Genomic DNA, 27,907 nt, shown 5'->3' with positions numbered 1-27,907 from the left:
AAAAAAAAGAAAAGAAAAAAGAAAAAAAAAAAGAAATAGAACATTGCCATCTCACTAGAAGCTTCCCAGGGGCCCCTTTCTAATCACAATTCTCTGGGAAGAGTGGCAACCACTCTCCTGACCTTTATGGTAGCCACTTCATTGCATTTATTTATGCTTTTATCACCTAAACATGCGTCCTCAACACCATAGTTTCATTTTGCCTGATTCTAAACTGTACATAAGGGGAACCATGCAGTATTAACTCTATGGCTGTCCTCTTTTGCTCAATATTGTTCATGAGATTTATCCATTTTGCTGTGTGTAGCTGCAGTTTGTTCATTTTTCATTGCTGTATAGTATCCCACTGAATAAATATAGTACAATTTATCTGTTCTACTACTGATGAAAATTTAGTTGCTTTGTGTTTGGGGCTATTAAAAATCATGTCACTATCACCATTCATGCACATGTTTCCTGGAACACACTTGCTTGCAAATCTATGGGTACATTCCTAGAAGTAGGGTGACTAACTCAAAATGGCTTGCTTAGGAGTTTCCTAGTTTTAGCACTGAAAAATCTCACATCCCAGGAAACCCCTCAGTCAGGCAAACTGGTATGGTTGGTCACCCTATCACCTAGCAGTGTAAATACTGTGTCATAGGACACAAATTATTGTCAGCTTTACTAGATAATAGCAAACACATTTTCCAAAGTGGTTGTACCAGTTTTCATTGCTAAATGCAATGTATGGGAGTACTGATTGTTCCACATCTTCACCATCACTTGGTGTGGTCAGTCTTTTTAATTTTACCCATCCTAGTGAATGTGTTACGCTACTTCACTGTGATTTTAATTTGCACTTCCCTGCAGACTAATGATGGTGAGCACCTTTTCATGTTTATTGGTCATTTAAATAATCTTTTTTTTGTGAATAGCCTGTGCAATACTCTTGCATGTTTTGTACTGGATTCTCCCTCTTTTTCTTAAGAATCTGTAGTAATTCTTCATATATTCTGGACATGAACCATTAGTGGGTTTTATGTGTTTTGCAAATAACTTCTACCTCTATGTGGCCTGATCTTTCATCCTCTTAATGATGTCTTTGAATGATCTGAAATTCCTAATTTTAATGTAGTCAAATTTATTCAATTTTTAAAAATTGTAAGTACTTTTTGTGTCTTATTTGAAAAGTCTTTCCCTACCCAGAGGTGATAAAGTTATTGTTTATATTATTTTCTTTTTCTTTTTTTTGAGACAGGTTCTCGCTCGCTGTGTCGCCCAGGCAGGAGTGCAATGGTGCGATTTCAGCTCACTGCAACTTCTGCCTCCCAGGTTCAAGCAATTCTCCCGCTTTAACCTCCCAAGTAGCTGGGACTACAGGCACAGGCCACCATGCCTAGCTAATTTTTGTATTTTTTTTTGTGGAGATGGGGTTTCTCCATGTTGCCCAGGATGGTCTCGAACTCCTGAGCTCACAAGCAATCTGCCTGCCTCAGCCTCCCAAAGTGCTGGAACTACAGGTGCACGCCATCACGCCCAGCTATTTTTTTTTGGTATTTCTAGTACAGACGGGGTTTCGCCATGTTGGCCAGGCTGGTCTTGAACTCCTAGCTTCAAGTGATCCACTTGCCTCGACCTCCCAAAGTGCTGGGATTACAGACATAAGCCACTGCACCGGGCCTGAAGAGTATATTTATTTTCTAAAAGCTTTACTGCTTTGCCTTTCATATATTTACTTCTACAGTTCATCTGGAATTTAGTTTTGTGTACGACATGAGGCAGGGGTTAAGTTTTATTTTTGTCTCCACATAAACAGCCACCACCACTTATTGAAATGGCCACCCTTTCTCCAGAGCTCCATAGCGCTGCCTCTGTAATGCATCAAGTGTCCATTTATGCCTGGGTCTGTTTTGGTCTCTGTATCCTGCTTCATTCACCTATTTTTCCTCTATTTTTCTATCTGCTATTTCTATCTATCTATATTTCTATATTTCATCTATATTTCTATTATTCACTTATCTATTTTTTATCTTAATAACTGCAGCTTTATAATAAATATTGATAGAGCAAGTCTGACCACCACATTCTTTTACAAGAGAAAATTGTCTATTCTTCGCCTTTGGCATTTCCCTTTTCGGGGGGTTGTTCTTGATTTTGAACCAGGGTCTTGTTCTGTCACCAGGCTGGAGTGTAGTGGTGTGATCATAGCTCACTACAGCCTCAACTTCCTAGGCTCAAGTGATCCTCCTCCTTTGGCCTCTCAAAGTGCTAGGGTTATAGGCTTAAGCCACCACACTTGGCCTCTCTTTTGTTTTTTTAATGGTTGCAAAGTATTCTTTTGTATGAGTGTACCAGATTTATTTATTTATTTATTTATTTATTTATTTATTTATTTATGACGCGGTTTCACTCCCATCTCCCAGACTGGAGTGCAATGGCACAATCTCAGCTCACTGCAACCTCTGCTTCCTGGGCTCAAGCGATTCTACTGCCTTAGCCTCCCAAGTAGTCAGGACCACAGGTGCATGCCACTCTGCCTAATTTTTGTATTTTTTGTGGAGGTGGGGTTTTGCCATGTTCCCCAAGCTGGTCTTGAACTCCTGAGCTCAAGCAATCTGCCCACCTTGGCCTCCCAAAGTGCTAGGATTATAGGCACGAGCCGCCGCACACGGCCCAGATTTTATTTAACCAATTATTCACCTCTGTACATAATGCTACCGTAAACATTTTTCTGGTTTTTTTTTTTAATCGTAACTACTAGTCCACCAGGGGTGAACATTCTTATAGATATGTCTTTGTGATCATGTGTGAATGCTGAGAGGATATCCTCTGTATTTGCCGCCTACAATAGCTAGCCTCTCTGCTCCTCTTGACCAAGTCCCTTTCTTTGAAACTGTGCCCAAATGTCCCTTACTCCCTAGCAAGTCAGTCGCTTCTTACCCTGAGTTTTCACAGCCCTTGATGGTCCCCATTGCTGTACTTATCACATCCTACTATGGTGGTTTCTTGTCATTCTCCCTTAGTAGACTATCAACTTCTAGAGTGCAGGAGAGGAGAGGTGTTTTACTCATCTTTGTGCTTGGTGCATTATGGGCATTCAGCAAATAATAATGAATAAATTAACACAAGAATGTAGGAATGAATGTATTACAACTAGCAGTCAAATGAATCAGCACAGAAATGTAGGAATAAATGAACTCAACCTGGCAATTCAGAAAAGATATCTTTTTCTCCTGACCTTCCAATTCTGTTAGTTAACTGTATGTAATACAAATGCATTACTTACATTTTTTGTTTTAATGTCTCAGAGCTTATGGGTTTAAAAAAAATTTCCTCTTCATAACTATGTTTGTAATTTTGATATCGTTGCTAATAAGTTGAAAAGATAAGACATGGGGAAAGGAAGAAAGAACAGATAAATCAATGGCAAAAGGAGAGAGATTTGAATCACACTTACCTGTAACAGGCTTAGGTGGTTTGATCTTCATTATGTAAACTGGAAGACTCAATTTAATGTCTCCTTTAAAACTAACATTTGCATCCTAAAACAAGGAAAAGGCATAGTTAATAAGCCAAGAGAAGAGAGGAAATAGAATAATTAAAAATACTAATTTTAAAAGAAGGTGGAAAAGAAGGGGAAAAAGAAAAATAAGAGGACAAATAGAAAGTAAATAGCAAGATTGTAAAAGTAAATAGCAAGACTGTAGATTTAAACCCAAACATATAAATAATCACATTAAATGTATATGGTCTAAATAACCCCAGTGAAAAGGCAGAGATTGTCAGACTCTATAAAAAGGCTAGACCCTTACTGGGCATGGTGACACACTTGTAGTCCCAGCTACTCTGGAGGCTGAAGTGGGAAGAACGCTTGAGGCCAGGAGTTTGAGGTGGCAATGTGCTATGACTGTGCCTGTGAATAGCCACTGCATTCCAGCCTGGGCAACATAGCGAGAGCCCATCTTTGAAACAGTTTTTTTAGAAAGGGCAAGACCCAACTATATGAGGTCAAAAAGAAACTTTGTGTGTGCGTGTGTGTGTGAGAGACAGGATTTTGCTCTGTCACCCAGGCTGCAGTGTAGTGGAACAATCACAGCTCACTGCAGGAGCGACCTCCTGAGCTTAAGCAATCCTCCCACCTCAGCCTTCTGAATAGCTGGGATCTCACAGGTGTGCACTACCACACCTGGCTAATTTAGTTTTGCAGAGATGAGGTCTCGCCATGCTGCTCAGGATGATCTTGAACTCCTGGGCTCCTGTGATCCTCCTGCTTCTGCCTCCCAAAGTAATGGGATTACAGGTGTGAGCCACCACATGTGGCCAAGAAACTCATTTTATGAAACACTATCTGAAACCATAGGGAAAAAGAAGAAACTCGTTATATTAAATATAATGACACAAACATGTTAAGAATAAAAGTACAGAAAAAGATATATCTTGCTAAAATGAATCAAAAGAAAGCTTGGGTGGCCATATTAGTATTTGACATAGAAGAATTCTGAACAGAGAATATTATCAGGAATCAAAGGGTCAGTGAATAATGACAAAACAATCAATTCATCTGAAGACAAAACATTCCAAATTGTTAAGCATCTAATTACAAAGCTTCAAAATACACGAAGCAAAAATTCGTAAGAGTGAAAGAAGAAAAAGATAAATCTACAATCTTAGAGACTCCTTTTTCAATAAGTACAGAATAAGTAAACAGAAAATCAGTAAGAATATAGTAAGGATATAAAAGGAAAAACAGAAAGGAGAAAAACTTGAATAGCCTGACCAATAACAGCTTTATTGGTCTTCAAACATCCTTTTCAAGTACATATAAACACTTACCAATATAATCCACATTGTGGGAATAAAACAAATCTAAATAAACTTAAAATGATTCAAATATATAAAGTATGTTTTCTGATCGCAATGGATTTTCTGATCACAACGGATTTTATGAGAAGCCCATAAAAAAAGCCAGCTGTAACATTTCCAATATTTGGACACTAAATAACATACTTCTAAAAATCTACTAGTCGGCTGGGTGCAGTGGCTCACGCCTATAATTCCAGCACTTTGGGAGGTCGAGGCGGGCGAATCACGAGGTCAGGAGTTCAAGACCAGCCTGACCAATATGGTGAAACCCCATCTCTACTAAAAATACAAAAATTAGCTGGGCATGGTGACATGTGCCTGTAATCCCAGCTACTTGGGAGGCTGAGGCAGGAGAATTGCTTGAACCCGGGAGGCAGAGGTTGCAGTGAGCCAAGATTGCACCACTGCACTCCAGTCTGAGCAACAGAATGAGACTCTCTCTCAAAAATAAAAAAATAAAAACCTACTAGTCAAAGAAGAAATACAAAAGCAAATTATAAAGTACTTTGAAATGAATGAAAATAAAAAAATCAAATTTTAAAGCAGTACTTAGATACAAGTGTATAGCATTAAATGCCTATATCAGAAAAGACGATCTCAATGATTTGAGCTTCTACCTTAAGAAACTAGAAGAGGAGCTGGGCCCAGTGCTCAGGCCTATAATCCCAACACTTTGGGAGGCTGAGGCAGGTGGGATCACGAGGTCAGGAGTTCAAGACCAGCCTGGCCAAGATGGTGAGACCCCGTCTCTACTAAAAATACAAAAATTAGCCAGGCGTGGTGGCAGGCACCTGTAATCCCAGCTACTCGGGAGGCTGAGGCAGAGAATTGCTTGAACCTGGGAGACGGAGGTTGCAGTGAGCCAAGATCATGCCAGTGCACTCCAGCCTGGGTGACAGAGCGAGATTCCATCTCAAAAAAAAAAGAAAAAAAGAAGAAAAAGAAAGAAAGAAATTAGAAGAGGAAACTAAACCCAAAGTGAGCAGAACAAAGGAAATAATAAAAACAAACTGGAAATCAGTGAGATAGAAAACAGAAAAACAATAGGGAAAAATATATGAAACTAAAATATTGTTCTTTTGAGAAGATGAATAAAATTGACAAACCTTTAGCCAAACTGATTAAGAAAAAAAGAGAGAAGACACAAATTACCAATATCAGGAATGAGAGGGATGACATCACAATAGATTTTAAAGACAATGAAGGGATAATAATGGAATGTTATGAACCACTTTAAGCCAATAAATTTGACAACTTAGACAAAATGGACAAATTACTCGAAAGACACAAGGTACAAAAGCTTGCTCAAGAAGAAATAGATAACCTGAATAGTGCTTTATCTATTAAAGGAGTTGAATTTGTAGTTCCACAAAGAAAGCTCCAGGACTAGATGGACACATTAGTAAAGTCTACCTAACATTTTAAGAAGAAATAATGCCCAGCCTGAGCAACATGTTTTTCTATAAAAATTTTTAAAAATTAGACAAGCATAGCAGCACACAACTGTAGTCTTAGCTATTTGGGAAGCTGAGGTGAGAGGACTGCTTGAGCCCAGGAGGTTGAGGCTGCAGTGAGCCATGATCATGCCATTACATTCCAGCCTGAGTGACAGAGTGAGCCCCTGTTTCAAAATGAAAAAAGAAAAAGAAAAAAATGTGCAAACAAATTGATGAGTAAAAAAATGCAAGTTTATAAGAAAATATATACAGTATGATGCCACTTATGTAGAAAAAAAATTCCATGAAACAAAACTGTATTTTTCAAAATAAACGTAAGATGTAAATACACACTAAAGATCTAGAAAACACACATCAACTGGGGCTGGGCGCGGTGGCTCATGCCTGTAATCCCAGCACTTTGGGAGGCCAAAGCGGGTGGATGACCTGAGGTCAGGCGTTCGAGACTAGCCTGGCCAACATAGTGAAACCCTGTCTCTACTAAAAATACAAAACAAACAAACAAACAAAAAAACATGTCAAGCTAATAATGGTGATTACCTCTGGAGAGGGCTGTTTATCTGAATTCCTTGACTTTTCCAAGAGTGATATATTCATATATTATTTGTACAATGTGAAATATAACTATTTTTATTTTTATTATTTTTTGTGAGACAGGGTCTTGCTCTGTCACTCAGGCTAGAGTACAGTGGTGTAATCTCGACTCACTGCAGCCTCCACTCCAGGGCTCAAGCCATCCACCCACCTCAGTCTTTTGAGTAGCTGGGACCACAGCCACATGCCACTACACCTGGCTAATTTTTTTTTTTTTTTAGACAGCTGTCTCCCAGGCTGGAGTGCAGTGGTGTGATCTCGGCTCACTGCAACCTCCGCCTCCCGGGTTCAAGCGAGTCTCCTGCCTCAGCCTCCTGAGTAGCTGAGATTACAGGCACACGCCACCACATCCGGCTAATTTTTGTATTTTTAGTAGAGATGGGGTTTCACCATGTTGGTCAGGCTGGTCTCAAACTCCTGACCTCGTGATCCACCTGTCTCGGCCTCCCAAAGTGTTGGGATTACAGGCGTGAGCCACTGCACCCGGCCATTTTTTGTATTTTTTGTAGAGGCAAGGTTTTGCTGTGTTGCCCAGGCTGGTCTCAAATTCCTGAGCTCAAGAGATCCTCCTGCCTTAGGCTCCCAAAGTGTTGGGATTACAGACATGAGCCACCCCACCTGGCCTAATGTAACTTTGAAAGGGAAAAAAGAAGGGGCTCTAGCGAGATACTTCCACTTCAGAAGTTCACCACTACTCTACTGACACGCCTGAGTCCTCCAAGAGCCATGCTTTCTGAAGACATGGTATGTTCCTGGTCTCAGAGGAAGAGCCAGGAAGCTCCAGGGAAACTGCTCTGTTCTCTAAGGTATTCCAAAACAAACACAAAACCCCCAAGTTACTCGGCTTGGTGAATTGGGCTGTTATTTTGGTAGAGGCAAATCCAGGATTCATAGGACCCTCTTTTAAGAAAAAGAAGACAGAACTATGAACACAAAATGCCCATGGCCACTGTAATTCCATCTAATATGGAGGAAATTGTGACAGAGGAAAGCTAGAGTGAAGAGGTAGTGGAATTAAGTGATTATGGTTACAATATGTTACCTTTGCTAATTTTACAAAAATATATAACCATATGAACACATTGCTAGGGCCCCTTCCAGGGGCCCAAGTGAGGGGCCCTGAAATTTAAGCTCCCTTAACTTCAGGTAAACCCACGTCTGGCCAAATGACTTGGGTCAACTGTCCTCAGGGACGGGAGGTCATCTTCAATGGATATGAGGCACAAGATTAAGTCACTGAGAATTGAAAATAGTGCCCAGGTGGAACATTTCATTAGCATATTTGACATTTAGGGTAAATTTCAAGTAAAAATCAAAATCTTGGGCCCAGTGTGGTGACTCACGCCTATAATCCCAGCACTTTGGGAGGCCAAGGCAGGCAGATCACCTGAGGTCGGGAGTTGAAGACCAGCCTGACCAACATGGAGAAAACCCTGTCTCTACTAAAAATACAATATTAGCCGGGCGTGGTAGTGCATGCCTATAATCCTAGTTACTCAGGAGGCTGAGGCAGGAGAATCACTTGAACCTGGGGGGCAGAAGTTGCGATGAGCCAAGATCGCTCCATTGCACTCCAGCCTGAGCAACAAGAGCAACAAGAATGAAACTCTGTCTCAAAAAAAAAAAAAAAAAAAAAAGAAAGAAAAAGAAAAGAAAAGAAAAATAATAATTTTTAAAAAATCTCTAAAATACAAACTTAAGTCTCTCTGGAGATTTTCTTTAAAGTTTCTTACCATTTCTAAAGGATCTGCAGAAATGGGACCAAGGGAGTTCTGAGAAGAAAAATGAGAAATTAATTCACAATAGGTTTGATGTATGTTTACCACCCCCTTTAATCTTCTGGCATGCTCTCTCTTCCCCTCAATTACTCTTGTGAGTGAATTCATGCAACAGATGTGGAGGGCCAGTATTTGTGTGGGCCTCTGGCCTGCAGAACTTCAACACACGATCCCTATTTTTCAGGATCTTAAAAGGTAGGTGGGGAAACAGGAAATAGTTAATAACAAGAGGAAATCTGAATGAATAGAGTTGAGGAGATCAGTCAGAACACCATTACAAGAATCCAAATTGAGGCAAATATTTCTGATTGGCAAAACATATTGGTGATGTTGAGAATTACATTTAAGTAACTCTAAATATAATTCGTAGTAAAAGAACTACCACTGTAACTGGCATTCATTGGCTGCTTCTCAGTGTATGAAAAAGAAGTGAATTATGGTGAGAAACCACCCCATTCAAGGTGCTTTTCCTATTTGGATAACAAATTAGTCCAAACAAAAATATATCTTTTTGAGTACCAAGTATGATACTATGGAATTTGTTGATAAAAAGCAGAAGGTATGATCTTAACAATCTAGAAATTTATTATCCATTGAAGACAAGAGGATTTTCATGTATAACAGGATAACTACAAACCTAGGCAGTATGTGAGAAGTGTCAAAAAATACATACAAATAATAACATTCTGTAATAGCTTAGAGGAGGAATATCTCTGGGCTAGTAACTTTCCCAGGGACATAGGACTACACTCCATTATGAAGATATTCACTGGCCATAAAGGCATTTATTCAAAGCCACTTGAGCTCAGCAGTGAATGTAACTCTCAATCTTGGTCTCCTATATTAATAATTTCACTAATTTATTTAGCACCTAATACAATGTATTTTAAAGGGATGCTCAGTTAATATTAATATATTAATGTTGGTGGTTTAAAAGTAAAAATAATAAGCATACACTGTATAAATAAGCAAATTAAGTCTTAATATTTACTGAGCAACTATATCTTAAAAACATAGCACAGGCCGGGTGCGATGGCTCATGCCTGTAATCCCAGCACTTTGGGAGGCCGAGGCGGGCACATCACGAGGTCAGGAGATTGAGACCATCCTGGCTAACACAGTGAAACCCCGTCTCTACTAAAAATACAAAAAAATTAGCCTGGCATGGCAGCGTGCACCTGTAGTCCCAGCTACTCAGGAGGCTGAGGCAAGAGAATTGCTTGAACCCGGGAGGCAGAGGTTGCAGTGAGCAGAGATCGCACCACTGCATTCCAGCCTGGGCAACAGAGCGAGACTCAAAAAACAAAAACAAAAACAAAAAAACAGCACAAGGCCCAGTCATCATATATAAATAAACTGAAATGGTAGAGTTTCTACTTTCTAAGGATAATAGAAAATATATATATATTTCTGTATATTGAGAACAACCTCTTTATACCATAGTCTGGAAAAATTTAATGGAATTTGAGGCATGAAAAGATTATTTCAGCCAGGAGGGAAAAAAAGATTACCAGTGAAGCAGGAGTCAGGACAAAAGACCCTCCTTCCAGAGAAATGCCTGGGAGTGGTCTCAGTGGAGAGGCAACTCCCAGACTAGAGATACTGCGATTCCCACTACTGAAGACACCTCTACTTTTTAATATCTTATTTTAACCAAAGGAAATTGACTTGGGAGACAGGGGCCAATATTCCTGTTGTCCTCTCTTATAGCCCAGAGGCCTCATTCACCATAAGTTTCCAAGGACTTGGGCTAGATGTGGGTCAGGGGTAGGGAGAAACATATCAGCTGAAAGCAGAGATATTTCCTACCAGTTGCGGCTGTCTGACTTTTTTCTTTGGATTTGAAGTGAGTTGGGGGTGCTCTAGTTTCTTGAGCCAAGTCTCCTTGGGCAATTTATACACATCCAGCCAAATATCTCCGGCTCCTGCATTGGGAAACCAGAGAACCATTGAGCAACTGTAAGAGAGCCACAAGTTTCCTCTGAGAAATGGCCTGTCTTCTTCTTAGAACTGCTGGCAAAGAGACCAGCCACCTCCATACCAGGCAACTTTGACATACTGAAGGAGAAGTAGTTCTGCAATGGTTATTGCAAGTCCTCATGCCCCACATAACTTTCCCATGGAGAGTTATCCCCTCAACCCACCACCACCTATCTAAGAGAAACAGGGGCTTCTCACACTAACAGCACTCATGCAACAGCTTTTTAACCAAATTGTTCTGCCCAGCCCCCACATTTTCTTTGTTGCAAATGGTAAATTCCATTGACATTAAAAAAAATATGGGGCCGGGCATGGCGGCTCACGCCTGTAATCTCAGCACTTTGTGGGGCTGAGGTGGGTGGAACACCTGCAGTCAGGAGTTCTCAGCCTGGCCAACATGGTGAAACCCCATTTCTACTAAAAATACAAAAATTAGCCGGGCATGGTGATGTGTACACCTGTAATCCCAGCTACTCGGGAGGCTGAGGTGGGAGAATCACTTGAACCCAGTGGGTGGAGGTTGCAGTGAGCCGAGATCAGGCCGTTACACTCCAGCCTGGGCAACAGAGTGAAACTCCATCTCAAAAAAAAAAAGAAATGCTTCATGAATTTGTGTGTCATCCTTGCAGAGGGGCCATGCTAATCGTCTCTGTATCGTTCCAGTTTTAGTATATGTGCTGCTGAAGTGATCACATCCACTGACATTTTGCCTTCAGTTTTACCTGTCTGGGGAGGAGGGCAGCAAATACAGAATCAGCAACTGAGAGAAGTGTGTCTGAGGAAGGGTTAGAATTGGGAAAGATGTACCTAAAGAATTCTTCTGACCAATATTTGAGGAGATAACAACCCATGGGTTGGCTGTGGGACTTTATCTTGTCAAAGAAACATGCTCAGCTTCTATAGCAAATATATGTTAACCTAGGAAAGGTTGTTCTCCCATGGTATGGGATCCTGGCTAAATTTTTTTCTTAAAAAGTAATCTTCTGGTCACCTTAATTTCACACTTCTGGCCTCTAGGACTCTGAGGGAATAAATATCTATTGTTTTAAGCTGCCCAGTTTGTGGTACTTTGTTATGACAGGCTCAGGAAACCAATACAGATGGTGCACAAGTTTCCTTGAATACACAAAGCATTATACAATGCATATCCTTCGCCAGGCGTGGTGGCTCATGCCTGTAATCCTAGCACTTTCAGAGGCCGAGGCGGGCGGATCACCTGAGCTCAGGAGTTCGAGACCAGCCTGGCCAACATGGTGAAACCCCGTCTCTACTAAAAATATAAAAATTAGCCGGGCATGCTTGTAGGTACCTGTAATCCCAGCTACTTGGCAGGCTGAGGTGGGAGAATCGCTTGAACCTGGGAAGCAGAGGTTACAGTGAGCCGAGATCATGCCACTGCACTCCAGCCTGGGTGACAGAGCAAGACTCCTTCTCAAAAAAAAAACAAAATAAAATGCATATGTTCCTCAAATACCTGACATTGGAGGGGGCTTGGACAAGAGTATAAAATAGAGGCCAATATACCATGTATCTAAATATTTAAAGGTTAAAAATCAAGGCAACAAGCATTTGAATAAAATATGTTCTATTGTCCCAGTGATAACTGCAGCAGGCAAGATCCAATGATGAGTGCTGAGATTGGTGGGTAAAACATTAAAGAGAAACAGCACATCAGCATCCTCTCAAAGTATCTCCCTCAAGGTGTTTATTAATTACTGTGGTGGTTTTAACACATGTCCAAAAATTCTTTGATTCTCTTACCTCCAGGAGACGATACTTTTTTTTTTTTTTTTTTTTTTTAAGATGGAGTTTCGCTCTTTGTTGCCCAGGCTGGAGTGCAATGGCACGATCTCGGCTCACTGCAACTCCGCCTCCCAGGTTCAAGCGATTTTCCTGTCTCAGCCTCCCCAGTATCTGGGATTACAGGTGCCCACCACCACGTCTGGCTAATTGTTGTATTTTTAGTAGAGACGGGTTTCACCATGTTGGCCAGGCTGGTCTTGAACTCCTGACCTCAGGTGATCCGCCTGCCTTGGCCTCCCAAAGTGCTGGAATTACAGGCGTGAGCCACCGCGCCTGGCCAGGAGGTGGTACTTCTATCATTTTCCCTTGAGTGTGGTCTGGATGTAGTGACTTGCTCCTTACAGAGGATGGGAAGGGGAAAACAGTAGCTCTACAGTGGAGAAACCTGGCGGACACCACTTGAAGTGATCAAGGTTAGTATTAGCAGTAGTGAGTCATGCTGCTATCATGTACCCCTTGATATGATGCAATGAGAAAAGCTTGTCACCTCTGTTGTATCTTCCCCCAAATCCTTAACCCCAGTTGAATTATGAGAAAAATATCAGACAAGCTGAAATTGAGGGACATTCTACAAAATACCTGACTGGTACTCTTTAAGGCCTTGAAAAATGAGGAAAGGCCAAGAAACCATCCTAGGTAGGAGGAGACTAAGGAGACACAATGACTAAATATAATATGGTATCCCAGATTGAACTTTGGAGCAAAAAAAAAAAAAAAAAAAAAAAGATTAGTGGAAAAACTAGTGAAATCCGAAAAAAAAAATCTGTAGTTAAGAGTTAGTTAATAGTACTGTACCAATGTCATTTGCTTAGTTTTGACAAATGTGGTGTGGCCATGTTGAACATTAATATTAGGGAAGCTGGGTGAAGGGCATAAGGGAACTCTGTAATTTCTTTGCAACTCTTCTTTGAATTGAAAATAATTTCTAAATAAAAGGTTTGGAGGGACAAAAGCAATCATTTGGAAGATTGGAAGAGACTGAAAATTTGAACCTTAACAGTCTTTGGTTAATCTTGCCTTGTAGGAGGAAGGCTGCAAAGTCCCCTCCTTGAGAGATCTCCATCTTTATACAGGTAGTTTGCTTGCTGGTATCATCCTGAAAACAAAAGAGATGTTGATAGAGTAGGCATAGCCTGCTGACAGAGAATGTATTTCAGGACCTTCTGTGGTCTGCACCCAGGAACAGAGATCCTTTTAAACCTTGGGACATGAAAAGATGCTTCAAACTGCTTCATACTTCCCATTTTTGTACAAGAATTGGACAAGATGATATGTAAAGAAGTAGAACTCGCTTTTCTATGTAAGGTTTTTGAACTTATTTCCTGGTTTCTTAAATGCTCCTGGTGACATCTGGCATACTATTGGATCTCCTCGTCAGGTGTGCAAACCCTAAAGCCTATGCTGGCATCCAATTATTCAACTAAATGGAAATAAATTCTACATGACACTGAAAACTCTGGTAGTTGCTGGACAAAAGGCTCTATTTAGACTATGGTAGAGACTGAATGTAACCTTAGTATGAAACCTGCTCAAATTGTGGATAAGGTCAGAGGGGCTCAATGTGAATGGTTATGCTATCTTTTTTTTTTTTTTTTTGAGACTCGCTAATTTTTAAAAATTTTAAGAGAGACGGAATCTCACTTTGTTGCCCAGGCTGGTCTTGAACTCCTGGCTTGCAAGTGATCTTCCCAAGATGGCCTCTCAAAGTGCTAGGATTATAGGGGCATGAGCCACCATGCCCGGCCTAATGTATCTCCTAAGTCTCTTAATTTATATTAGCTCCCTCATTTGTTTTTCTGTTTGCCATTTATTTGTTGAAGAAACCGTGTCATTTGTCCTATGGAATTTTTCGCATTGTGAACTGGATTGATTGCATCTCCATGGTTCCTGTATTTCCTGTAAACTGATAATCAGATCTACAGCTTTGATTAGGTTTAGGTTCAATGTTTTGGCAAGAACACTCCACAGGTGCACTGTGTCCTTCCTACTGCATCATATCAGGAGGCTCATAATAGCTGGTTGTCTCTCTTTTAGTAATGTTAAGGTTGACAGTTGAGAACAGTTATCATCCTGACTCCTTTATTACAAACTTCCCCATCAGCCATTGGTGGTTATTGCCTAGACCATTCTTTGTAATAGGCAACAAAAGTAGGATACCTCAGTTCTATCATTCCTTCTGCATTTATTAGAATTCTTCTATAAGGAAGATCTTTCCATCATCAACCATTTTGTTGCCTTGAAATTGGTTGCCCATATGAAAAAGTCAGAATAAAAGCTTGATTCTTTCCCTTATCAGTTTTCAGAATACTGAGTTTCTGAAACTTCCCTCACAACTTCCAAAGTTGTGACAATAAAGTATTTAAAATATATTATCATGAATTAATGGATTTTAAATATTTTTATGTGTTTTAATCCACCAACAGTACTTTTTTTGTAACATCCCTGATAATTTGAATATCATAGTTATGCTGGTCTCATAAAATGAGTTGCGGGACATTCCCAGTATTTTTTTTTTCTTAGGAGAGTTTATTTAAAGATAAAATTTAAATATAGGTAAAGGCACAGGTATTAAATGCATAACTTGATGAGTTTTGACAAACTTATACGTCCCTGTAACTAACACCCTGTCAAGGTATAGGACGTTACCATTATCCTAGAAAGTTACCGTATGCCTGTTTGAGCCAACTACACTTCCATATGCAACCAATGTTCTGCTTTCCATCGCTAACACAGATAAATTTCGCCTGTTCTTAAGTTTCATATAATTTCATAATTAGAACCTACTCTTTTGTGTCTGGCTTCTGTCATTCAACTTGATGTTTTTGAGTTTCATCTGCTGCGTTGTAATCATCAGTTGTTTATTATTTATTATTGCCGATTAGTGTTCCATTGACTTAGTCTACCACAAATTTTTATTTGTTCTCTGATTATGTTTTTTTGTTTTCGTTTTTGTTTTTGTTTTGAGACGGAGTCTCACTCTGTCGTCCAAGCTGGAGTGCAGTGGTGCGATCTCAGCTCACTGCAATCTCCGCCTCCTGGGTTCAAGCAATTCTCCTGCCTCAGCCTCCCAAGTAGCTGGGACTACAGGCGCGTGCCAGCACACCCGGCTAATTTTTTGTATTTTTAGTAGAGACGGGGTTTCACCGTGTTAGCCAGGATGGTCTTGTTCTACTGACCTCGTGATCCGCCCGCCTCAGCCTCCCACAGTACTGGGATTACAGGCAGGAGCCACTGTACCCGGCCTTGATTATTTTTTTTTTTATTACAAATACAGCTGCTATGAACATCTTGTACAAATCTTTTTGTGAACAAATGTTTTCATTTCTTTTGGGTAAATACCTAAAAATGGGCTTGATGTATCATAGGTTTAACTTTGTAAGAAACTACCTCACCTGTAATCTCAGCACTTTGGGAGGCCAAGGTGGGAAGACTGCTTGGGTCCAGGAGTTCAAGACCAGTCTGGGCAACATGGCGAAACACTGTCTCCTTTTGTAAATGTCAGTTTAAGTCTTTTGCCTATTTTTTATTGGGTTGTCTTTTTATTACTGATTTGGAGTTCTTTATATATTCTGGATACAAATACTTTGAAGGATATATAAATATATATAAAGTATATATATATAAAACAGGTATTTTCTCCCAGTCTTTGGCTTGTTTTTACATTTTCTTATTATATTTATTATTATTTAAGGCCTTTATTAGCAGTTTGCAGTTTGGCTTTTTAAAAACCAGATGCTGCACTGATAATGCAATTAGTTCTAGTTATCTGGTTAACAGGCAAAAAATAAATAAATAAATCACCCCCACCCTGCCCAGCCTCAGGATCCAAGGCATTCTCAGCTGGTGGATCCCTTGCTTTTGTCTCTGCCACAGTGGGGTTTAGGATTTTCTGGACATCTACATCTGTAACTGAAGTTGCAGTTGTTGACCTTGTGTCTCATCTTGATTTTCCTTTTCCTCTTCATTGCTGACCTCTCTGTCTTTGGTGAGAAGGGGCCCTGGAGAATTGTGGTGTAGGATTGTGTCACTGGTCCACCTTGTTCTCCTGCACCCTGGTTATCAGTACCTCCATCACTTCTCCCTGCACCGGACGGCTGCAATAGTGTGGGCACCTGGCCGTCACAGCCACAATAGTGGTGCACCACAATAATGTGGGTACCCACAGGGTCGCCACAGGCTAGAAGCCCATGCCTGGGCCAGCTGTTGAGCCTGGCCTTCAGGAACACTCTCTGACCTTTGGTCATTTCCCCACTCTCACTGTTCTGATAATTCGGCTGGTGAGTGAGTGGAGGACTGGCCCTACAATGCGGACAGCATTCATAATGGTTAGTCTGCTGCAGATCTACTTGCCTTGCATAGGAATGCAATTAGGGCCTGTAACATTTGCGACCTCCATACCCTTCAATAACCTCAAACTCCATCTACTACACTGGGAAAGCACTTCCTGGGGTTATTCTTTTATGACTGTCTGTGTCCAAATACACCTCCTTGATGTCCTTTCTGTGGATGAAAACATAGCCATTCCTGACATTGAATCATCTGTTTCCGAAATTTTCATTGCAATGACGCTCTTGTCCTAGCCACCCTAGCAACCACTTCTTATGGTGCAGATGTGGGCACTGCTGAGGACTGGCAGCTGCTGGGTCTCAGCCTCCTTGCTCAGGGTAGTGGTGATGGTGACTAGAGCCAGCTGCGACAACTGTAGCTCCTCCAGGGTGTGACTGTCACTAGGACGGGTGGAGGTGGGGCTGTTCAGGGCTCTCTGGGGTCCGCTCTCTGCTCCTGCTACTGACTGAACTCTAATAGCATCTTTCGATGAGCAGAAATTTGAAATTTTTTAACAGCTTTATTAGAGGTATCATGACATAATAGCATGTTTGAAGTGTACAATTAGATAAGTTTTGACATATGTGTACCTCTTGAAACCAACACCACAATCAAGACAGTGAACATATCCATCACCTCCAAATGTTTCCTCCTGCCTGTGTTGTGTTGCCCCAGGCAACAACAGATCTGTTTTCCATCACTAGGTTAGTTTGCATTTTCTACAGTTTTATAAAAATGGAACCAAACAGTTATGTATTTTTATCTGACTTCTTTCACTTAACATAATTATTTTGAAATTTATACATGTTATATGCATTAATAGTTCACTCCTTTTTATTGAATAGTATATCCCATTGTATGGATACACCACAATTACTTATCCATTCACCTGTTGATGGACATTTGGATGGTTTCCAGTTTTTGGCTATTACAAATAAAGCTGCTATGAACATTCACGTACAAGCCTTGGTATGGGCATACACTTTCATTTCTCCTGGATAAATACTTAGGAGTGGAATGGCTGGATCACATGGTAAGTACATGTTTAACTTTTGAAGAAACTGCCAAAGTGGTTGTACTATTATACTTTACCACCAGCAGTGCATAGGAAGAGTTCCAATTGTTGCATATCTTTGCCAACACTTGGTATGGTGTTTTTATTTATTTTTTTATTTTCCTTTTTTTCTTTGTTGTTTTATTTTTTATTTGTGTGTGTGTGTCTGTGTCTCTGTGTGTATCTGTGTGTTTTGAAACAGTCTTGCTCTGTCACCCAGGCTGGAGTGTAGTGGTGTAATCTCAGCTCACTTCAACCTCTGCCTCCTGGGTTCAAGTGATTCTCCTGTTCAGCCTCCTGAGTAGCTGGGATATAGGCGCCTGCCACCATGCTCAACTAATTTTTGTATTTTTAGTAGAGATGGGGTTTCACCATGTTGGCCAGGGTGGTCTCAAACTCCTGGCCTTAAATGATCCACCTGCCTGCCTCCCAAAGGGCTGGGATTACAGGCATGAGCCAGCGTGCCTGGCCTATTTTTGGTGAGTGTTTTTAATTTGAGGATTCTAATACATGTGTAATTATATCTCATTGTGATTTTAATTTCCACCTCCCTAATGACTAATGATCTTGAGCATCTTATTTGCCTTCCATACATCTTCTTTGGTGACCCCTTCTTTTCAAATCCTTTGCCCATTAAAAAAAAGTTACATCTTTTCTTGTTTTGAGAGTTCTTTATATATTCTGGTTACAAGTCCCTTATCACATATGTAATTTGCAATGAATTCTCCCAGTCTATGGGTTGTCTTTTCATTCCATTAACAATATCTTTTACAGAAGTTTTTAATTTAGATAAAGTCCAGTTTATCTTTTCTTTTATGGATCATGCTTTTGGTATTGTGGCTAAAATATCTTTGCCTAACCCAGGATCACTTTCTCCTATGTTTCAGCCTAGAAGTTTTATAGTTTTAGGTTTTACATACAGGTATATGATCCATTTTGAGTTACTTTTTGTATATGGTGTGAGGAATGAAGTCCAATATTAATATTTTCTTTTATGATTAGTGCTTTTCATTTTCCTAAGAAATCTCTGCCTGCCCCAAGGTAGCAAAAAAATTCCTCTGTGGTTTTTTTTTCCAAGAAGAAATGTTTTTAGCCTTTACATTTAGATCTAAAATCTCTATCAAATTAATTTTTATATATGGTGTGAAGTAGAGTTGAGGTTCATTTTTCCATATTTGTTTTTCCAGTGTTTTAGCATTATTTGTTGAAAATACTCTCTTTTGGCCCCCACTGAATTGCCTTGGTGCCCATCAATAGTATTTCTTAGAAGACAAATTATAATAAAAAAATCTACTATGACTCACACCTGTAATCCCAGTACTTTGGGAGGCTGAGGCAGGAGGATCACCTGAGGCCAGGAGTTCATGACCAGGCTGGGCAACAACATGGCAAGACCCTGTCTCTATTTAAGAAAAAAAAAAAAACCTTACTCTGAGTAATACCCTCTCTTTCGGGAATTCATTGATTTGAAAAATACTTTCTGAGAACTTACAGTATTGTAGGCAATGATCTGGGAAAAGGGGATTCAAAAGGTAAATAAGACAGGTCCTCTTCCCTCAGGAGAAGCAGTCACATGAACAAACTAGGGTAGAGGGTGCGGGAAACACTGTGGTAGAAACTGTGTTCTCTTTGTCAGTGGCACAAAGCAGGGAGAGATCAGCTCCTCTTGGGTATATAAGGGAAAGTATCTTAGAGGAGATATTTGAGCTGGTCTTGAAGAATGGGGGAAATTTTGGTAGGGAGACAAGGCGGCAGGGAGACAAGGAGAGCATTTGAAGCAGAAGGAACAGCATGGGCAAGGGAAGGGGAATGTGAAACAGCCCAGGATATTTAGGGACTTTTGAGTACTTATTAGATATGTTGGTCTGATTCTCAAAAGAAAAATCTGGAGTTCCTTTGCTAATTTTCTTTTCTTGACAACAGGGTAACTAAATCCAAGGAATTCAGCATGTACCCTTTGATGGTCGCGGATCTTTTAAATGGATATTTTGGAGGAGGCTCTCTGGCCATGGAGGTCTCTATTTCTTTCTAATCTAGGCCAGCTATCATTGCTTCCATATTAAAAATAAACTTAATTTGCTACAGCTTTTGGCCCAGCTAATGGTGAAAGAATAGGAACTCACCACTTCATTGATGGCTTTGACTAGGTAAAGTCCTTCCTTATAAAAATAAAAGAGTCTAATGATACCTGAAACAGAAAAATAAGTGAGAATGTTAAGACAGACAATTGAGCTGAAGAGAAACTGGAAATTTTATATTGGACTTTGTGAACTTACCATCATGAGCTCGCTCATTCTTAGGCCTCCTTCCCAGCCCCTCCACTGCCTATGCTGCTCTTGGTCTCCCTGCCTTCCTCCACCCCTCTTGAATGTTCGGGTTGTTTTCCTTCCTGGGTCCTCTCCACCTACCCTGGCTCCACCGGCATCTCCCAGACGTCTCCTGTAAGACATGGGCTACATCCATCCACTGGTTGATTCCTATCTGCCTGATTGAGCACACCATCCCTTACTGCTTCACACCATTATCCAACTGTTTCCTGCAAATGTATTGTATTCCTCTTGAGAATTCATAGATTCTTTGAGGGAAAGATCATAGCTCACTGTTCCATGTGTCTTGCCTCTCAATCCCAACAAGCTCCTCGTGCAGTTAATTTTGTTGAATTAATAAGTAAATATGTTAATCTAATTCTCATTTAACCTAATGGCTCCAGTATACAACCATCACCCACGATGAATTCTTACCTCTTTCTTGAGGTGCCTCCCACATACTTATGACTTGCCTCTCTATACTATAATATAACCTTGTAAAGGCATCTGGCCCACTGTGGGTAAACGTCTAACTCAACCCAGTACAGATTCATGGGATATCTCATTCATGCCAACAAATGTGCTAGGGACACCAAGACAGTCTACCTTCAGATTCATCATATTCAGGGTTACACAGACTTGAAACCAACTAGTATAATGTAGTGTGATACATATGATCCTATCTTTACACTAAACTCCTTCTGAGTATCAACATTCCCACAGAGATATCCCTAGATGCCTCAAGTCTGCACATGTTCAAATGGAATTCTTCAACTCACAGAACCCTGAAATCTTATTTTCCCATAACTGTTATCAAGAAATGACATCATCATCCACCCAGTATTCTAAGGCACAAAGGGGGAGGCATTCTCCTTCATTGCCCCCCAGGCACACTTTCCCACTACTTGACCCATATGCATATTCCATCATTCCCTAAGTTTTTCCATTAAACATTCCTTTCATTTTTTAAGCTTTTTATTTTGAACTAATTTTAGACTTATAAAAAAGTTACAAAAATAGTACAGAGTTTCTTTGTATCCCTTGTCTTGCTTCCCCTAATGTTAACATCTTACATAACCATAGTACACTTTTTCTTTTCTTTTTTTTTGAGATGGAGTCTCATTCTGTCACCCATGCTGGAGTGCAATGGTGCGATCTCAGCTCACTGTAATCTCCGCCTCCTGGGTTCAAGCAATTCTCCTTCCTCAGCCTCCCGAGCACCTGGGTGCCCACCACGCCTGGCTAATTTTTTTTTTTTTTTTTTTGTATTTTTCGTAAAGACGGGGTTTCACCATGTTGGCCAGGCTGGTGTCAAACTCCTGACCTCAAGTGATCCACCTGCCTGGGCTTCCCAAAGTGCTGGGATTACAGGCATGAGCCACCACACCTGGCCTTTCTTTTCATTTTAACAGCCCCTGTCTTGGTTCAGATGTTCAGAATTTTCTCTCCTTAATGACTGCATAGTTTTTCTGCCTCTCATTTTGCCTTTTTCAAACTCCTGCTAGAGTGCCCTTCTTAAATGCCAGTCTGGTCAGGTCACTCTCCTGCAGAAAGTTCTTCAGTGTGCCTGTGCTGGTTGAGCAGAGCCTGAGGTCTAGAGAGATGCATGCCTTCACAGATGATCTCCAAGTGAGCAGGCACTTTCCGCTCTGCCTGCCACAATATGACACAGCCACCTCACTCACTTCCAGCCAATGCTGACATTTGCCTTCTCATCCTCCACAAAGTAGGAAAGCTCCTCAAATCCAGAGGTAACAGTCTGTTTCACCCAAACATAAGGACAGGCTAGAGGGAGCCTAGCTTTTGGGGGGCAACCAAGAGTAACAGCTCACCTATCTAGGACACTGTCTACAGTTTTCGATACCATACTCCTCATGGAGGCCTGGTTCATCCTCAGGCTGAGGGAAAAAGAGCAAGCTCTGGTTTGTATGAGAGGACTGCTGAGTGCTGGAAGGGTGTGGACTCCAGGGCCATACTGCCTGGTTTGAAGCCTGACTTTCCATGTTACCTCAAATAAGTTATTTAGCTTCCATAAGTCAGTTGCCTCTTCTGAACAGGAATAAAAAATTTTACTTCCCCCCTAAGGCTGCCATGAGGATTAAATGGGCTAGCACATGTGAAATGGTAGAACAGTATCTGACCCACCATACCTGTTCTGTACATATAGTTACTATTACATGACCAGGGAGAAGTCTCCATGCCTGGCCCCACCAATACCTCAAAAGGAGATTAAATTGACAACAGTCTACAGGTACCTGTAAATGAGGCTAAAAAGGAAGATGAAGAACAATACCCATTTCATCCACAGGAGCAATGAGTATTTCATTCCCTAAATCTGTGGCCCAGATGGAAGTGACATCAACCTTAAGCTTCTCCCACGCATATATTTGTTTAGCACTGTACAGATTATAAATTGAGAATCCTTTGGCTCCTCCAATAAACACATAGTCTTGGGAAACAGCCATACAATTTGGCATTTTGTTGAGCTGGGAAAACAAAGAAAAAATATTATTTTCAGTTGTCACTGTCTTCAAATATTATGAGTTAGCTTCTCAGAGACATTCAGGGGCCCTTCCTAGATAATAATAACATTTCCTGGCTGGACGCAGTGGCTAACGCCTGTAATCCCAGCACTTTGGGAGGCCGAGGTGGGCAGATCACATGAGGTCAAGGGTTCGAGACTAGCCTGGCCAACATGGTGAAACCCCATCTCTACTAAAAATATAAAAATTATCCGGGCATGGTGGCATATCCCTGTAATCCCAGCTACTTGGGAGGCTGAGGCAGGAGAATGCTTGAACCTGGGAGGCGGAGGTTACAGTGAGCCGAGATCACACCATTGCACTCCAGCCTGGGCAACAAGAGCGAAACTCTATCTCAAAAAAAAACCCCAAAAAACAACATTCCCAAACATAGTGCTCATCTAAAACTCTTGCCTAAGCATCAAGAAATTCATAGTATTTCACTGTTAGGGCAAAGAGAATAGAGAAAAACAAATAAGTTGAGAACAAATGCATATTCACAACACTAGGCATGACCACAGGCCCTGCACTTTATTCAGCTTGTGCACTGTGGGAGGAATGGTAGCCAAGGCACTGGCAGATCCTCAGCCATCCAGCAAGAGAGTAGATTAATACATTAAGAAGATTTTTCAGTAACAACCACTGAATATAAAGGGATAGTATTCAATTAACCAGAACACCCCATATTTCCCCAGGCAATTACCAGATCATTTTAATCAACATCAGCATGCTTCTAATCTTTCAAAAATGCACTGACTTATTGAATGCAGCTTTCTAGTAGGAATTCCTTCCTGGATCAGGGGATTTCATTTATTAACACTCAACTGAGAAACAGGGGCTCCTGGTCAACTGCTTACTCCATACCTGGATTTCTCCAAGTGGAGGGTAGACGGTGGGCTGGATCTGGCTGCTCTCAGCTTCCCTCAGTGCGTTTCTCTCTTCAATAATTTCCCAAGACTGGTCAAACAGAAGGTTCACCAGCTTGTTGATCATTCGATAAGGCTGAGGCAAGGAATCCAGCTCCTCATCTGGATCCACGAGGACATGATCCTGTTCATCGTCTTTAGGCCAGTCCTTCTCTGTTGGGGGTGGCACCTCCAATGGTCCCTTTCGTGTACCAATGGGGTGCTTTATTTTCTGGGTCTGACTTCCTCTTGGGAATGACATCACAGAAGGTGGCACTGGGAACCTCTATGAAACTGAAAAGCTGATAAGAGAAGTAAACAAAGGAATTCTGGAAGAAAGGAAGCAATGAGAAGATAGCACATCATCCTTTTCTAGCACAATAGCCTATAGGGACTGCTTATTCCACAGACTGGCATTTTCCTTAATTACCAGAGGACTATTACCACATTCTTAGGATATGCTCTTCATATTAGTAAGGACATTAGAGGAGGCAGGTATTTTCCAGGCCAACCCTAGATGATGTGTACTAAGAAGGAAAGAGGAATTTTATACCCTTGTTGATAGGAGGGCAGATGTCTTTCTGTCCCAAATACAATTCACCCTCTCTCCTACAACTTATGCCTTCTCCTCATTCTCTTTCTCTCTGCAGATGGCTGTGCCCAAGCCAGGTGGGCAGTGAGCCACGACTCTCCTCCCTTTCTTTCCTTTACCCCCCATCAGATGCAGTTCAAGCACTCCCAATCCCGACTGTCTGATTTGTTCCCTTTTCTCCTTTCCCGCTGCTGCTGCCCAGAAGTTCTGCAGACACAGTGCTCAGGGCCCATGAGATTTTTCAAGAGCCTCCAGAAATGTTTGAGACATTAAAAAAAGAATTGACCAAAATAAGACCCATAAACTTCCACTTCTATCTGTGCCACAGATTTGAGGAATGAAATACTTATTGCTCCTGTGGATGATAATTAAATATTTACAAAAATATTTACAATTTATTAGCTCCACTCTGTGTGTGTGTGTGTGTGTGTGTGTGTACACACACATATATATGCATACATCAACTTATAAATATATAAAGTCTGTATATGTATACAAATAAAGTTCATGTCTACAAGAAGAGAACAAGTAATCTTTACTTCAGAAAATTCAAAATTGTAGGGCCTGTGGGGTGGTTCATGCCCATAATCCCAGCACTTCAGGAGGCCAAGGTGGGAGGATTGCTTGAGGCCAGGAGTTTGAGACTAGCTTGGGCAACATAGCAAGATCCCATCTATACAAAAAATTTAAAAATTAGCTGGGCATGGCAGTATGCATCTGTAGCTACTTGGGAGGGTGGGGTGGGAGAATTTCTTGAGCCCAGGAGTTTGAGGTTGCAGTGAGCTAAGATTGTGCCACTGCATTCTACCCTAGATGACAGAGTGAGACCTTGCCTCAAAAAAAAAAAAAAAAAAAAACCCTCAATATTGTGTACATTATAAAAAGGCTTTCATATGTTACAGTTTTTAAAAAAATATTTAATGTAGAACATGAGATAAATTTTAAGGTGCTTAATATATAGTGGAGTAGGGTCTTGGACTGTGTGAGTGCCTAGGGTCCATGAAGTCTCATAAAAGCCCTGCTGCCACTGTCATCTTTTTTTACCGGCTGGAGTACATCTGTGATGCTTTCAATGTGTGAGTATGAGGACACTAGCTGACACTGGGGGAAGAACCACCTGAAGTAATTAGTGGGGAGAGTAAGCTGAGCTCACAGAGGGCCAAGAATAATGCCTGTTTCCACCAGCAAGACTGGAAAGCCTCATAATTCACAGGGATTATGTAGAGTAGTCTGAAAAATCTTGCCTCGGTCGTGGGAAAAATTAGCCCTAGAATAAATGCTCCTCTGTTGTCACCCATCAAATCTTAGAAGTTAGATAATCAAACTATTTCTAAGTAACATACTGCATCCCAGAACAAAGCTCAAGAATATTTAGAGGAATGTAAAAATATCCAGCATTCAATGGAGTAAAATTCCCAATGTCTAGGATCCAATAAAGAAATTACTTGGGCTATAGAAAGGCAAGAAAATATAAGCCATAATAAAGAGAAAAATCGATCAACTAAAGCTGAACCAGAGTCAATAAAGATATTAGAATTAGCAGACAAAACAGTTATAACTTTTTCCACAAAGTTATAAAGCTGTAACTGTTATATCTATATCTTTCTAAATCCATATTGAGCTTTTAGAGACACAGCTACAAGGTCTGAGATGAAAAATACATCAGATTAGATTAACATGAAGATTTCAGAGGAAAAATTAGATGGCCAGAAGAAAAGATTAGTGAACTTGAAGACACAGCAATAGAAACAAAATGAAACGAAGGAATAAAAAAGACTGAAAAAAAGAGAAGAACTGAGGTGTGAGATCATTTGAAGTGGCCTAATAAAGAGTGACTGAAATCCCCAGAAGAGAGAAGAAACAGAAAAAAATTTTGTAGAAATAATGAACAAAAATTTTCTAAATTTGATTAAAACTATGAACCCACAGATTTGAGAAGAAAAACTATATAAAATTATGGATAAAGAGAAAATTTGAAAGCAGCCAGAAGAAGAAAGGCATCCCATGTACAGAGGAACAAAGTAAAAAATAACAGCAGACTTATTGAAGGAAACCATGCAAGTGAGAAACAGTGAAGCAACATCTTGAAAGTACTGAAAGAAAAAAACTTGTCACTCTGGTATTCTATATCCAGAAAACATATTTTTCAGAAAATTAAAGTGAAATAAAGCCTTTTTAGACATACAAAAATTGAAAGAATTCATCATCAACAAGCTAGCATTAAAATAAATAACGTAAAAGAAAGGCTTTTAGGCTGAAGGAAAAGGATCAGGGTATAGTAGCTCCCAGGACTTTGGGAGGCTGAGGTGGGAGGATCACTTGAGCCCTAAAGTTCAAGACCATCCTGAGCAACAAAAGGAGACCTTTATTCTATAAAAAAAATTTTTTTTAATTAGCCAGGCGTGGTGGCATGTGCTTGGAGGATCACTTGAGCCCGAGAGGTCAAGGCTGCAGTGAGCCATGATGGTGTCACTGCACTCCAGCCTGGGTGACAGATATCCTGTTTCAAACTAATTAATTAAATAAATAAAATAAAATGATATCAGGTGGAAATAGAAATTTACATAAAGAAGTGAAAAACACTGGATGCATTAGGCAAATTAAAATATTTTTCTTATTATTTAAATCTCTTTAAAAGATATTTAAAATGCTTAAACAAAAAAATAAAAATGTAGTGTAGGATTAATAACATATGTAAAGAAAAATGTATGACAATAATAGTACAAGCACTAGGAGGGGAGAAATGGAAGTATATCAATATCACTTGAAGGTAGGCTATGCTAGGTTAAAGATGCATACTCTAAACCCTAAATTAACCACTAAAGAAATAAAACAAAGAGTTCCAGCCAACAAAAGCAATAAAACACATGAAAATACTCAATTTAAATACTTAATTTAAAAAAGCAAAAAAGAGGAAAAAGGGAACAAGGAACAGACGGGACAAACAATGTATAGCAAAATCTAACCATATCAATAATCACATCAAATGTAAACACTCCAGTCAAATGATAGAAGTTGTCAGAATAGATAAGACTCAATATATGCTGTGCACAAAAACCCCACTTAAATATTAAGACACAAATATGCCAAAACTAAAAGGGTGAACAAAGGTATACTATGCTAACACTAATCAGAAGAAAGCTGGAGTGACTACATTAATATCAGACACAGTATATTTCAGAGCAAAGAATATTACCTGCGATAAAGAAGTTCATTTAATAATGATAAAAGTGGGCCGGGTGCAGTGGTTCATGCCTATAATCCCAGCACTTTGGGAGGCTGAGACGGGCGGATCACGAGGTCAGAAGATCGAGACCATCCTGGCTAACACGGTGAGACCCTGTCCCTACTAAAATTACAAAAAAAAAAATCAGCCGGGCGTGGTGGTAGGCGCCTGTAGTCCCAGCTACTTGGGAGGCTGAGGCAGGAGAATGGCGTGAACCCAGGAGGCGGAGCTTGCAGTGAGCCGAGATTGCACCACTGCACTCCAGCCTGGGCGACAGAGAGAGACTCCGTCTCAAAAAAAAAAAAAAAAAAATTATAAAAGTGTCAATTGATCAAGTGGGTATAAAAGTCCTAAATGTTTATGCACCTAATAACAGAGCTTCAAAATACACAAAGTAAAAATGGATAGAATTTAATGAGAAACAGGAAGATCCACAATTATAGTCAGAGATTTCAATACCCTCTTCTCAATAAATTATAGAACACATAAACAGAAAAATCTGTGAGGATACAGAAAACT

The 27,907-nt window shown here is 40.4% G+C and overlaps 1 protein-coding gene and 1 pseudogene across 16 annotated transcripts in view; both read right to left on the bottom strand.

The window, feature by feature from the left end:
• The window catches only part of WDR93 (WD repeat domain 93), a 53,291-nt gene that overhangs the window by 18,060 nt on the left and 7,324 nt on the right, over positions 1 to 27,907 (bottom strand). For 11 of the 16 annotated variants that reach the window (XR_931869.2, XR_931870.1, XM_011521794.3 and 8 more), the window contains exons 2-8: positions 23,530 to 23,872; positions 22,437 to 22,629; positions 19,961 to 20,025; positions 13,475 to 13,553; positions 10,484 to 10,599; positions 8,630 to 8,668; positions 3,440 to 3,524 (exon numbers count right to left, since the gene is read on the bottom strand). Coding sequence is in view for 14 of the 16 variants with exons in the window: in XM_011521794.3 (XP_011520096.1) it covers positions 3,440 to 3,524; positions 8,630 to 8,668; positions 10,484 to 10,599; positions 13,475 to 13,553; positions 19,961 to 20,025; positions 22,437 to 22,629; positions 23,530 to 23,832 (880 nt within the window). In the remaining 2 variants the exon portion in view is untranslated. Of the gene's footprint in view, positions 1 to 3,439; positions 3,525 to 8,629; positions 8,669 to 10,483; positions 10,600 to 13,474; positions 13,554 to 19,960; positions 20,026 to 20,113; positions 20,171 to 21,100; positions 22,630 to 23,529; positions 23,900 to 27,907 lie in introns of those variants that run through there. The other 5 variants (XM_011521795.2, XM_024449994.2, XM_047432868.1 and 2 more) reach the window with 5 other exon arrangements.
• On the bottom strand, positions 11,241 to 11,347 carry RNU6-132P (RNA, U6 small nuclear 132, pseudogene; annotated as a pseudogene).

Source organism: Homo sapiens, chromosome 15, assembly GCF_000001405.40.
Source record: "Homo sapiens chromosome 15, GRCh38.p14 Primary Assembly".
Lineage (NCBI taxonomy): Eukaryota > Metazoa > Chordata > Mammalia > Primates > Hominidae > Homo > Homo sapiens.
The sequence above is the reverse complement of the archived record's forward strand: the minus strand, read 5'-3'. Positions and strand labels throughout refer to the sequence as shown.